This window comes from Homo sapiens, chromosome 4 (assembly GCF_000001405.40).
Source record: "Homo sapiens chromosome 4, GRCh38.p14 Primary Assembly".
NCBI classification, from domain to species: Eukaryota; Metazoa; Chordata; class Mammalia; order Primates; family Hominidae; genus Homo; species Homo sapiens.
Genome location: NC_000004.12, coordinates 36,576,936 through 36,591,479, shown reverse-complemented (window position 1 = coordinate 36,591,479; position 14,544 = coordinate 36,576,936). Strand labels below are relative to the sequence as shown.

General features: G+C 36.2%; 1 long non-coding RNA gene across 1 annotated transcript in view; it reads left to right on the top strand.

Moving 5' to 3' along the window:
• LINC02505 (long intergenic non-protein coding RNA 2505) overlaps positions 1-14,544 on the top strand; it is a 145,364-nt gene that overhangs the window by 50,421 nt on the left and 80,399 nt on the right. Inside the window, exon 3 of the long non-coding RNA NR_149124.1 lies at positions 8,750-8,823. This is a non-coding gene — a long non-coding RNA (long intergenic non-protein coding RNA 2505). The remainder of the gene's footprint in view (positions 1-8,749; positions 8,824-14,544) is intronic.

Sequence of the window (14,544 nt, the reverse complement as noted above, 5' to 3'; positions counted from 1 at the left end):
TTTTAACATTTTAAATAAAAATTGATTTATATTTAATTGCTTATTTCTAGCCACTTTATTAAAGTATGAATGACATATAAAAGCTGTACATATTTAATGTATACATATCTGTAAATCTGGTGATAAGTATACACCCATGAAAGTATCACCACCATCAAGGCCATAAACATATCTATCACTTCCCAAAGTTTTCTTCCACCCCTTTTGTTATTACTATTGGGTTTCCCCTCCCAATTGCTTAAGTTAGATTTCTAAAAGTAGAATTTTCTGGTCAAAGAATTTTACATATTAAATACATAATTTGTCAACTTATTTTTCAAAAAATTAACAATATTCATTTTCAAAACTAGTGTTTGAAAGTATATTCTAACCCTAGAGATCAATGAATAAAAAAGTTTTAAAATATTAATTTATTAATTTTCCTCAGGAGTTTGGGTGCTGTTTCACTGTTTATTTGCCATACACAAATCAGTAATGCAAATGTCACTGGGATCTCCACTTGTTAGCTCTCTCACTTGCCTCTAAAAAAGATCTGCCTAGGCATTTCATCAACTCAGAATCTTCACTGGAGAGCTAGAAGGCCATAGGAAGGGGATATATCACATAGGTAGACCACAACATCATTGTTCTGTCCCTTATTTCTACCAATGTATTGGATTCTTTAGTAGATATTATTTTGAAAATAAACAAATACTACTTATTTACGTAATATTAACATATTCATTTATTAGACACTGGCAATATGCCAGACAGGATACTTAGCACTGGGGATGGAAAGCAAACACCACAAGTTCTTACTTTCAAGTTATTTACAACCTGGTGGGAGATACTTGTGGTCTCATGACTATTTTGAAGCAAAGAGGATTAATTATTTTAATCCTATGAATCCATGAATCTCATGTTAGAAGTATCTTACTTCTTAAGCTAATAAGCAACCTCAGCAAAATCTCAGGAAACAAAATCAATGTGCAAAAATCACTAGCATTCCTATACATCAATAACAGGCAAGCAGAGAGCCAAATCATGACTGAATTCCCATTCACAATTGCTACAAAAATAAAGAAATATCTAAGAATACAGCTAACAAGGGAATTGAAGGACCTCTTCAAAAAGAACTACAAACCACTGGTCAAGGAAATCAGAGAGCACACAAACAAGTGGAAAAACATTCCATACTCATGGATAAGAAGAAGCATTATTGTGAAAATGGCCATACTGCCCAAAGTACTTTATTGATTCAATGCTATTCCCATTAAACTACCATTGACATTCTTCATAGAATTAGAAGAAACTATTTAAAAATACATATGAAAGCAAAAAAGAGCCTGAGTAGCCAAGAAAATCCTAACCAAAAAGAACAAAGCTGGAGGCATCATACTTCCTGACTTCAAACTATACTACAGGGCTACAGTAACCAAAACAGCATGGTACGGGTACAAAAACAGACACCTAGAACAATGAAACAGAATAAAGAACTCAGAAATAAGACCACACACCTACAACCATCTGATCTTTAACAAACCTGACAAAAGCAAGCAATGGAGAAAGGAGTCCCTATTTAATAAATGGTGCTAGGAGAAGTGGCTAGCCATGTGCAGAAAATTGAAACTTGACCCCTTCCTTACACCTTATACAAAAAGTAACTCAAGATAGATTAAATACTTAAATGTAACACACAGAACTACAAAAATCCTAGAAGGAATTCTAGGCAAAACCACTCAGGACATGGGCAAAGATTTCATGATGAAAATGCCAAAAGCAACTGCAACAAAAGCAAAAATTGACAAATGGAATCTAATTAAACTAAAAAGCTTCTGCACAGCAAAAGAAACTATCCTCAGAGTAAACTGACAACCTACAGAGTGGGAGAAATTTTTTGCAATCTGTTTATCTGACAAAAGTCTAATATCCAGTCCACAAGGAACTTTTAAACAAATTTACAAGAAAAAAAAACATTAAAAAGTGGGCAAAGGACATGAACAGATACTGCTCAAAAGAAGACATACATGTTGACAACAAACATATGAAAAGAAGTTCAACATCACTGATCATTAAAGAAACACAAATTAAAACAACAATGAGATACCATCTCATGCCAGTCAGAATGGTGATTATTAAAAAGTCAAAAAACAACAGATGCTGGTGAGATTTCAGATAAAAAGGAATGTTTTTACACTGTTGGTGGGAGTGTAAATTAGTTCAACCATTGTGAAAGAGAGTGTGGCTATTCCTCAAAGATCTGGAGGCAGAAATACCATTTGACTAAGCAATCCCATTACTGGGTATATGCCAAAAGGAATATAAATTATTCTATTATAAAGATACATGGGCCAGGCATCGTGGCTCGTGCCTGTAATCCCAGCACTTTGGGAAACTGAGGCAGGTGGATTACCTGAGATCAGGAGTTCAGGACCAGCCTGGATGGTGATGGGTGAAACCCCATCTTTACTAAAAATACAAAAATTAGCCAGGCATGGTGGCACATGCCTGTAATCCCAGCTACTCGGGGGACTGAGGCAGGAGAATTGCTTGAGCCTGGGAGACGGAGGTTGCAATGAGCTGAGATCATGCCTGGCCAACAGAGTGAGATTCTGTTTCAAAAAAAAAAAAAAAATAGATACATGCACATGGTACATTCATTGCAGCACTATTCATTCACAATAGCAAAGACATGGAATCAACCCAAATGCCCATCAGTGACAGACTGGATAAAGAAAATGTTGTACATATACACCATGGACTATTATGCAGCCATAAAAAGCAATGAAATCATGTCCTTTGCATGGACATGGAGGAAGCTGGAAGCCATTATCCTTAGCAAACTAACACAGGAACAGAAAACCAAACACTGCATGTTCTCACTTATAAGTGGGATCTGAACAATGAGAACACATGGACACAGGGAGGGGAACAACACACACTGAGCCTGTCAGGGAAAGGGGTAGGTGTAGGGAGAGCATTAGGAAGGATAGCTAATGGTGTTGGGCATAATACCAAGTGATGGGTTGATCTGTGTAGCAAATCACCATGGCACAAGTTTACCCATGTAACAAACCTGCACATTCTGAACATGTACCACTGAACTTAAAAGTTGAAGAAAAATATTTTTTAAAAAAGAAAAATTAAAAGAAGTGCTGTTAGAAAGGCATTAGAGTGGGAATGTGGCTCTGACTTTAGTAACTCCCCATGGAGACCATCTGTGTTAGTTCATTTTCACACTGCTGATAAAGACATACCAGAGACTGAGTAATTTATAAAGAAAAAGAGGTTTAATTGACTCACAGTTCCATACAGCTGGGGAGGCCTCACAGTGATGGTGGAAGGTGAAAAGCACACCTTACGTGGTGGCAGACAAGAGAGAATGAGAGAGAAGTAAAAGTGGAAAATATAAAACCATCAGATCTCATGAGACCCATTCACTTTCATGAGAACAGTATGGGGGAAACCACTCTCATGATTCAATTATCTCCCACTGGAGATACTCCCACAACATGTGGGAATTATGGGAACTATAATTTAAGATGAGATTTGGGTGGGAACACAGGGCCAAACCATATTATTCCATCCCCGGCACATCCCAAATCTCATGTCCTCATATTTCAAAACCAATCATGCCTTCCCAACAGTGCCTTGAAGTCTTAACTCATTTAAGGATTAACTCAAAAGTGCACAGTCCAAAGTCTTATCTGAGACAAGGCAAGTCCCTTCTGCCTATGAGCCTGTAAAATCAAAAGCAAGTTATTACTTCCTAGATACAATATTGGTACAGGCATTGGGTAAATACAGCCATTCCAAATGGAAGAAATTTACCAAAACAAAGGGGCTACAGACCCCATGCAAGTCCAAAATCCAACAGGGCAGCCAAATCTTAAAGCTCCAAAATGATCTCCTTTGACTCCATGTTTCATCTCCAGGGTGCACTGATGTAAGAGGTGGGTTCCCATGGTCTTGGGCAGCTCCACCTCTGTGACTTTTCAGGGTACACCCTCCCTCCCAGCTGCTTTCCTGGGCTGGCGTTGAGTGTCTGTGGCTTTTCCAGGTACATGGTGCAAGCTGTTGGTGGATCTACCACTCTGGGGTCTGAAGGATGGTGGCCCTCTTCTCACAGCTCCACTAGGCAGTGCCGCAGTGGGGACTCTGTGTGGAGGCTTCAACCCCACATTTCCCTTTTGCACTGCCCTAACAGAGGTTCTCCAGGAGGTCACTCTTCCTTTAGCAAACTTCTTCCTGGGCACCCAGATGTTTCCATACATCCTCTGAAATCTAGGCATAGGTTCCCAAACGTTAATTCTTGACTTTTGTTCACCCACAGTTTCAATACCACTTGGAAAGTGCCAAGGCTTGGGGCTTGCACCCTCTGGAGCACAACCCAAGCTGTACTTTGGCACTTTTTAGTCATAGTTAGAGTGGCTTGGACACAAGACACCAAGTCCCTAAGCTGCACACAGCAGGGGGACCCTGAGCCCTGCCCATGAAACCATTTTTCCCTCCTACGCCTCTGGGCCTGTGATGAGAGGGCCTGCCTCAAATGTCTCTGACATGCCCTGGAGACATTTTCCCTATTGTCTTGGCAACTAACATTTGGCTTCTCGTTACTTATGCAAATTTCTGCAGCTGGCTTGAATTTCTCCTCAGAAATGTTTTTTGTTTGTTTGTTTAGCTGCAAATTTTCCAAACTTTTATGCTCTGTTTCCCTTTTAAAACTCAATGGTTTTAACAGCACCAAAGTCACCTCTGGAATGCTTTGCTGCTTAGAAATTTCTTTCACCAGATATCCTAAATCATCTTCCTCAAGTTTTAAGTTCCACAAATTTCTAGGGCAGGGACAAAATGCTGCCAGTCTCTTTGCTAAAACATAGCAAGAGTCACCTTTACTCCAGTTCCCAACAAGTTCCTCATCTCCATGTGAAAGCAGTGAAGCCTGAATTCCATTGTCCATATCATTATCAGCATTTTGACCAAAGCCATTCAACAAGTCTCTAGGAAGTTCCAAACTCTCCCATATTTTCCTGCCTTCTTCTGAGCCCTTCAAAATATTCCAACCTCTGCCTGTTACCCAGTTCCAAAGTCACTTCCACATTTTTGGATATCTTTACAACAGCACCCCACTCTACAGTTCACAAGGGAGGAACCCAAGTCAGTTACAGACTGTAACAGAACCAAAACCAATCTCCCCCATGATTCAATTATCTCCCACTGGGTCCTTCCCAGAACATGTGGGAATTATGGAAGCTACAATTAAAGATGAGATTTGGGTGGGGACACAGAACCAAACTATATCACCATCTGAGAACATCTTCAAAATGTCAAAAAGACAAAGAATAGACCAACAAAACAAAACAAAACCCGAAAAATCTACAAATAGAAAGGGACAGAGTGAAGGGAAAAGGTATGGGGAGGAGAGAAGGAAAGCTACAATGAAGAGATAGAGAAAACACTTGTGATCTGAAGATAAAAGTGTATCAATAAATTGAAAAGTTCAAGAAAGAACTAGAAAAAACAAAATACTTTTATATTTCAAACCTTTGCAGTGTGTTTAACTTCATCTTTTAGTCACTTATTTTTTCAGTCTCAAAAATAAAGCTAGCTCCAAATTTTGGTTATTGTTTTCCCTGCAAAGTTTCTCAAATTCAGTGTCTTCTCTCCTTTTTCATCCACAGCCTTCACAACTCTAGGCCAGGCTCTTTACTCCTCAGTGGGCAAGAAACCTCCAGGGGTGCATGATGTTCCTTCCTCTCTCTTCCCTCCTACAGCCTCAGGGTTTCTCCTGTCTGCTTCCTCCCTGCTATCATCATCAACGCTTCCATCTGTGTTATATTCCACTTGGGCTCTGCTTGGAGCAGTGTGCCAGACTCTAACTTTTCTCTATTCTGCTATTTTTGAAACAGCCACAACAAATCCTTCTGGGTTCTTCAATTTTTTTCTTTGTTATTGATAATAATTAAATGAAAGACAGCAATAAACCATTAATAAATCATATCACTAACTAATAATTATGACTACAATTATTGAACTCTATGTGCCTGGCTTTGGAATAAGACTCCTATGTTTGACATCCAATTTAATCCTAACAATGATTCCTGTGGTAAGTATTTATGTTACTTCAGTTCACAAGGGAGGAACCCAAGTCAGTTACAGATAATAACAGAACCAAAGTTACAGAACTGCAGGAGATCTTGATGTAACAGTAAGATTATTTTCACTGTTTTTTGTTCAAATTTAAGTAGTGCTTGGGTCAGACTGCAGTGTCAGGACTGACTCCTTATGGACATCTGTCTTGATGAGATCATCCTTAACCCTTCATGTGATTATTCTTGTTCCTGGAAATACAACTTATTCTGACCCTTATTTATTCTTTAAAAAAATTTTTCTCCCTGACATCTCACAATAAAGTCTCTTCCCCTTTTCTCAGTTATTGAATTAATTTATTCACACACTTCCCAAACCTGTTGAGTTCCACTGAGTTTCACAGGCTGTTATAAATGCTATGAAATATAGCACTTGACAAGAAGCAGTTTTACCCTCTTGGAAATTACATTCCAGTAAGAGAAAAAAGTAAGTCAACAAGGCATAAATGAAATAACTATAGATTTTCTTAGCATTATGAAGAGAATTAACAAACAAGTACAATAATACATCATAAGAGTGGCTTTCCTTAAATATGGTAATTCTTTTGTCTGAAGAGGTGACATTTTTCCAACGCCTGAATGAATGATGAGAAGGAGCCAAACATGAAATTCTCTGGGGAAACAGCATTTTCTTGAGCAGGAAGAATACGTTCAAACTTCTGTGGCAAAGGAGATAAGGTCAAAATGGTGAGAAGACCTGGATTCAGTAGGGTACTGCGGGCACTGATAAAAGAATCAGGGGTTTATTGGGATTCCAATAACTTGCTACTGGCAAGTTTTAAGTAAGGGAATGATAAGATCTGATTAGCGTTTTTAAGAAACACACTACAGATGCTGTTCGGCCAAGTGAAATTTTAGGTGCCAAAGAGTGGGTGATTCAAATTCTCCAAGGCTCGTATGAATTTTATTTATATCTCAGAAGAAAACCCCATATTCTCAGAGTTGTTTGGTTTTTTGCGAGAAACTTAATTTAAGAAAAACCTTGACTATATCTTGCTCCTGAAATCAGAGCACTTTCTTCGTATTTTTTTTCTTCCATGAAGAAAAAGCAGTGAGATTTACCATCTCCATAAAAGGAAGTTAATGATCATGTTGATTGATATCCTTGATTTCCTACACCAGTAGGATTCTTGTAAGAGCCATGTCTTTTCTGCTGTTTGGATCCAGTAGTTTGATTGCATGACTTGTTAGGGGCATAAAATGTTGAGCAGATGAGGCAGAGAGGGAGTCTCACATCTCTCCTGCTGTTGATACTTTGGTCTCCACGCTGTCTCTGTGCATCTTATTCACCAACTGCAAACGGAAGGTGTGATCTGGAACAGAGATTCTGAAATGTAACACTGTCGTGTGCTGGATAATCCTTTGTGATGAGAGGCTGCTTTTATCTTGCAGTATGTTTTTCAGCATCTCTGTCTTTTAACTACTAGATGACAGTAGCATCCCCTGGGTAACTGAGAATATCTCCAGACATCGTCAAATGTTCCCTGGGTGGATGGGGGTGGGGGAGCAAAATCTATGACATTTGAAAACCACAGATCTAGGAGGACTTCTTAGTTCTCTCTTTGCACTTACATGTTAAATGCACCAAGAATTCCAGCAATAGTCAGAGACTATGGCACTTTTGACATTTTAGTTATTTAGGAAGACATTTTTCTGTTAAGAAATGTCAAGCTTTCCACCCCCACCCCCCACCTTTTCCCTCTTCATTACCATGGTACCAAATTACTGTTCTTACTGTAGTGACTTACTATGAAGAACAGTCCTTTAAAGCCAACGTGGATAAAATATCCCTTTATCCCTTCCCAAAAGCTGATATGTAGAGAATTAAAGGTTGGTTGCTGTTCAAGTATATACAGTTCCTCTGTCTTTTGCAGGGCCAGTGATTCATTAAAGGAAGGAGAAATGTTTGTGCATTTGAGAACAAAAGAATATGAGGCAAATCTAAGTGAAGAAACTTACATTTCTAAATAACCACAATCTTACTTAAATTGGAATTTTCTATTTATCATTTTCCAACAGTGTGGGAAAAATATAATAACTAGAATAATTCAGACTTCAAAATATTGTATTTCCAATTTAAATCAAATTTCTTCATTGCCTACAATGCCTCTCTAATAATCCCAGATGGGTCGCCACCCACACAGTCCTTGAGATTCTACCTGGCCACTCTTGCCTTATATCTTGTTATCTGTGAGTCTTTGCTCACATTTTTCTTCATGAAATATTTTTCGTATATTTTCTGCCTGGCCAAATCCTGTTGATCCTTCAAAACTGATATAAAATATCACTTTCTGGGAAGACTTCCTGACCCCAACTCTTCAACATGATTTTGAGATTGCTTTGCACACACAAATACTCCATGTATAGCAAGAAAAACTAACACGTTCAGTTTGGAGACTATACAATTTCCAAGGGAAAGATGATAATGAATTTTATTAGGGCAGTGGCAGAAATACTGGAAATAACTGTATCAATTTAAGATATAATTTATATATTTCAAGCCAAGCTGGCACAACTTGGTTGGGGATCAAATATGTGGGTGAAGGAAAAGAGATATCTACTGAGTTTTTTAAGTGGTGACTTAACTGATTTTTAAACCTCTCTTTTCTTTAATGCACTAGAAAAATAGAATATAAAAACTTCTCTACTCCTGACTCACCAACGCACCAGAACAACTTTTAGTCCTGCAATCATGGTAAGTGCTCTATACGATGTACCATTTATAAACATTTTATATTGTATTTTTATTGTGTCTTTTCTATGTTTAGACACAAATATGCTTATCCTTGTGTTACAGTTACCTACAGTATTCAGTAGAGTAACAGGAGGTACCAGATTGAAGCCTAGGAGCAATAGGCTATACCATATAGCTATCAGGCTGTAGTAGGCTGTACCATCTAGGCTTGTGTAAGTGTGCTTTGTAATGTTTGCACAATGACAAAATCACCTAATGATGCATTTCTCAGAATGTATCCCTGTTATTGTGACACATGACTGCACATTAATTATGCTAAATCCAACGTCACTCTATATCAAAGCCAAGAATTCACGCCCTATTGTACTTTCAATTCCAAGTTATTCCCAGGCTACATCACTCATCACAGTTCTGCAATAAGACTATGAAAAATGAAAATGACAATGAAATGCCAATGCCTAGAGATTCCCTAAATTTAAGTGAAATTCAAGTTCTATGAAAGTTCAAAGCCATTATGAACTCTTATTCTTGTGAGTTCAAAGTCCAGTGAAATTATAGCACAAAACTATCCTCAATTTCTCATTCTTGAGTATTCAATAATAGAAAATTCTTGATGCTTTGGGATAGTTGAGCTTTTTGCAGCAGTTGCAGTCTGCATGTCTTCCACTGAAATAGGTGTGGTTACTTCAGGACTTAGAACTAGAAGTTGTCCTTCACCAAAAAGAGACTGAGTGAATATTTACTTTTTAAAATATGGTTTTTATTTTAGAATAGTTTTAAATTTGCAGAAAAGTTGAGGATATTACAGAGTTCCTATATACCCTACATCAGTGTCCCCTATTGTCAGTATCTTGCATTAGTATAGAACACTTGTCACAAGTTATGAACCAATCAGCACATTAACTAAAGCCCATAGTTTCATCAGATTTCCTTTACCTAATATCTCTTTTTTTTGTTCCAGAATGTCATCCAGGACATCATATTTAGTCATGATGTCTCTGTAGGCTCCTCTGGGCCATAACATTTCCTCAGATTTTCCTTGTTTTTAATGACCTTTTGAGGAGTAACAGTCAGATATTTTGTAGAATTTCCTTCAATTGGGATTTGTGTGTTGTTTTTCTCATGGTAAGCCCGGGGCTATGAGTTTTGTGGAGGAAGATCACAGAGATAAAATTTTACACTCATCATATCAGGAGCACATGAAATCAATGTGACTTATTACCATTGATGGTAACCTTGATCTTGTAGCTGGGGTAATGTTTTTCAGGCCTTTTTTTTTTTTTTTTTCACTTCTCCCCTTTCCATATTTTACTTTTTGGAAGAAAGTAACTATGTACAGCCTCCCCGTTCCCCAAGTCGAAGCAGGCAGTATTAGTCTTTCTGGCTTATTTCACTTAGGATATTGTCCTTCAGGTTTATCCATATTGTCACAAATGACAGAATTTCTTTCTTTTTTAAAAAGGTGTGAGGTGATATCTCATTGTGTTTTTAATTTGCATTTATCTGATGATTAATGATGTTGAACATTTTTTTTCATGAACGCTTTGGCCATTTTTATGTCTTCTTTTGAGAAATTTCTTTTCAAGTTATTTGCCCATTTTTAAATCACATTTTTCTTGCTATTAAGTTGACTCAGTTTTTATACATGTGAATATTCACCACTTATCAAATACGTGGTTTGTAAATATATTCTCCCACTCGATGGATTGTCTTTTTACTCTGTTTATTATTTTCTTTGCTATGTAAAAAATTTTTGGTTTGATGTGATTCCATTTGTCTATTTTTGCTTTTGTTGCCTGTGCCTTTAAGGTCATATCCAAGAAAGTATTGCCCAGACCAATTCTGTAAAGTTTTCCCCTGTGTTTTATAGATTTGTGTGTGTTAAACAATCCTAGTATCCCAGGGATAAATCCTACTTGGTCATGGTAAATGAGCTTTTTAATGTGCTTTTGGATTTTATTTGCTAGTATTATTTTGAGGATTTTGCATCTGTATTCATCAGGGATATTGACCTATAGTTTTCTTTTCTTGTGGTGGCTTTGACTTTGGTATCAGGGTGCTGAACTTGTAAAATGAGTTTGGAAATATTGCCTCCTTTTCAATTTTTAGGAAGAATTCAAGAAGAACTGGTATTTCTTCTTTAAATGTTTGGTATAATTAACCAGAAAAGCCATCCAGTCCTGAGTTTTTCTCTGATGGGAAACATTTTATTACTAACTCGATCTCCTTACTGGTTATTGGTCTACTTAGATTGTCTATTTCTTCATGATTTAGTCTTGGTAGGTTATATGTTTCTAGGTATTTATCCATTTCTTCTAGGTTATCCAGTTTTTTTGGTATATAACTGCTTATAGTATTTTCTTATGATCCTTTGTATTTCTGTGCTATCAATTATAATAGATCATCTTTTATTTCTGATTTCATTTATTTGAGTCTTCTCTATTTTTACTGAATTAGCCTAGCCAAAGTTTTGTCAATTTTGTTTTATTATTAAAAGAAGACAACTCTCAGTTTCATTAGTCTTTTCTATTGTTTGTCTAGTCTTTAATTAACTTATTTCTGATCTTTGTTATTTACTTTCTTCTGCTAACTTTGGGCTTAGTTTGTTTTTCTAGTTCTTTGAAGTGTTATATTAGATTGTTTATTTTTATTTATTTATAGATTTTGCATAAGTTATTAGGTACAGGTGGTATTTGGCTACATAAGTTCTTTAGTGATGATTTGTGAGATTTTGGTCCACCCATCACCCGAGCAGTATACACTGAAACATATTTGTAGTCTTTCATCCCTCACCCCTCTTGCACCCTTCCCCTAAGGTCCCCAAAATCCATTGTATCATTCATATGCCTTTGCATCCTCATAGCTTAGCTCTCACATATCATTGAGAACATGTGATGTTTGATTTTCCATTCCTGAGTTACTTTACTTAGAAAAATAGTCTCCAATCTCATCTAGGTCACTGCAAAGGCTGTTAATTCATTCTTTTTTATGGATGAGTAGTATTCCATTGTGTGTGTGTGTGTGTATATATATATATCACAGTTTCTTTATCCATTCATTGATTGATGGGCATTTGGGTTGGTTCCATGATTTTGCTATTGTAAATTGTGCCACTATAAACATGTGTGAGCAAGTATCTTTTTCGAATAATGACTTCTTTCCCTCTGGGTAGCTACTCGGTAGTAGGATTGCTGGATCAAATGGTAGTTCTACTTTTAGTTCTTTAAGGAAACTTCATATTGTTTTTCATAGTGGCTGTACCAGTTTACAATTCCACCAGCAGTGTAGAAGTGTTCCATGTTCACCAAATTCATGCCAACATCTACTGTTTTTTTTATTTTTTATTATGGCCATTCTTGCAGGAGTAAGGTGGTATCACATTGTGGTTTTGATTTGCATTTCCCTGATGTTGAGCATTTTTTTCATTTGTTTGTTGGCCAATTGAATATTTTCTTTAGAGAATTATCTATTCATGTCCTTAGCCCACTTTTTGATAGGACTGGTTGTTTTTTCTTGCTGATTTGTTTGAGTTCGTTTTAGATTCTGGATATTAGTACTTTGTCAGGTGTACAGACTGTGAAGGTTTTCTCCCACTCTGTGGGTTGTCTGTTTACTCTGCTGACAGTCCTTTTGCCATGCAAAAGCTCTTTAGTTTAATTAGGTCTCAACTATTTATCTTTGTTTTTATTGAATTTGCTTTCAGGTTCCTGATCATGAAATCCTTGCATACGCCGGTGTCTAGAAGGGTTTTCCAATGTTATCTTCTTCTTTCTTCTTTATTTATGTAGGTGTTTATTGCTATAAATGTCCCTGTTAGAACTCCTTTTGTTGTATCCCATAAATTTTGGTATACTGTATTTTCATTTTTATTTGTCTCAATAGGTTTTTGATTTTCCTTTTGATTTCTTATTTGACCCATTGGTTGTTCAGGAGGATGTTGTTTAATTTCCACATATTTGTGAATTTTTCAAGATTTCTCCTATTTTTATTTCCAGTTTTGAACTATTGTGATGAGAAAAGATACTTGATATGATTTCAGTTTTCTTAAATTTGTTATGACATGTTTTGTGGACTAACACATCATCTATCCTGGAGAATTTTCCTTATGTGCTTGAGAAGATGTGTATGCTCTTGCTAACAGACATATAAAATGTTTGCCATTTTATGTAAAATGTAATTACATTCTAATGTTTCTTTATTGATTGTTTTTCTGGATGATCTGTCTATAGTTGGAAATGAGGTATTAAAGTCTTCTACTATTATCATATTGCAATCTCTCTCTTCATATCTATTAATATTTGCTTTATATATTTAGGTGCTCAAGTGTTAGGTTATATATATTTATAATCATTATATCCTATTGATGAATTGACCCCTTTATCCTGATATAATGACCTTCTTTTTACACCATTCATGAGTTAAATGCCATTTTATTGCATATAAATGTTACTACTACTGTTCTCTTTTGATTTTTATTTATATGGAATATATTTTTTCATCCCTTCACTTTCAGTGTATGTGTGTTCTTAAATGTAAAGTGCATCTCTTGTAGGGAAACTATAGTTTGGGACTTGTTTTTTAATTTATTCAGACACTCTGTGCCTTTTGAATAGAAAATTTCATTCATTTACATTCAAAATAATTATTGATAAATAAAAACTTACTACTGCCAATTTTTATTTTTTTTCTGATTGTGATTTTTTTTCTTTCTTCTTGCTATATTCCTTTGTGGCTTATAGTTTTCTGCAATGGTGAACTTTAATTCCACTCTTTTTCTGTTTAATTTATCTACTATAGATTGTTGCTTTGTGGTTACCATTGGGCTTACATAAAATATCTCACAGTGTATTTTAAGCTGATAACAACTTAAATTTGATCACATAAAAAACTCTACAGGTTTACTGTTTGCCACCCATATTTTATAATTTTGATGTCAAAATTTATGTATTTTTGCAACTTGGGTTTTTTAACAAATTATTATAGCTATTTTGTTTTTGAACTGTAATCCTAGAGATAAAGTTGATTTACACACCGCAGTTACAGCATTAGAGTATTCTAAATATGACTACATATGACTTAAACCATTGAGTTTTGTACTTTTGTCTGTTTTATGTTATTATTTATCAGTCTTTTGTTTCAGCTTAAAGAACTCCCTTTAGCATTTTTTATTAGGTGGAGCTAGTTGTGATAAATTCTATTAGCTTTTGTTTGTCTGGGAAAATTTCTGTTTCTCCCTTATTCCTGAAGAACAGATTTGCCCGGTGCTATGTTTTGAATGTACCCCATCTGAAATCCAGGTGTTCATAATTAGATAGTGTTAAGAGGTGGTACCTTTAAGTGGTGATAAGACCATGAAAGCCTCTTCCTCTTGAATGGGATTAATACGTTTATTTTAAAAGCTTTACACAGCATTTGGCTAGTTTGCTCTTTTGGTTTTCTGCCATGTGAGGACACAGCATTTGTCCCTTTGCCCTTCTATCTTCTGCCATATGAGGATGCAACAAGAAGGCCCTCAGCAGGTGCTAGTACCTTAACCTTGGAATCCCTGCCTTCAGAACTTTGAGAAAATTAATTTCTGTTTTTATAAACTACCCATTCTCAGGTATTTTGTTACAGCAGCACAAAGATATCAGGGTAAAGTATTATTGGTTGGCAGTTTTTATTCTTCTGCTACTTTGTATATATTATCTCATTCTCTCCAAGCCTGCTGGATTTCTGCTG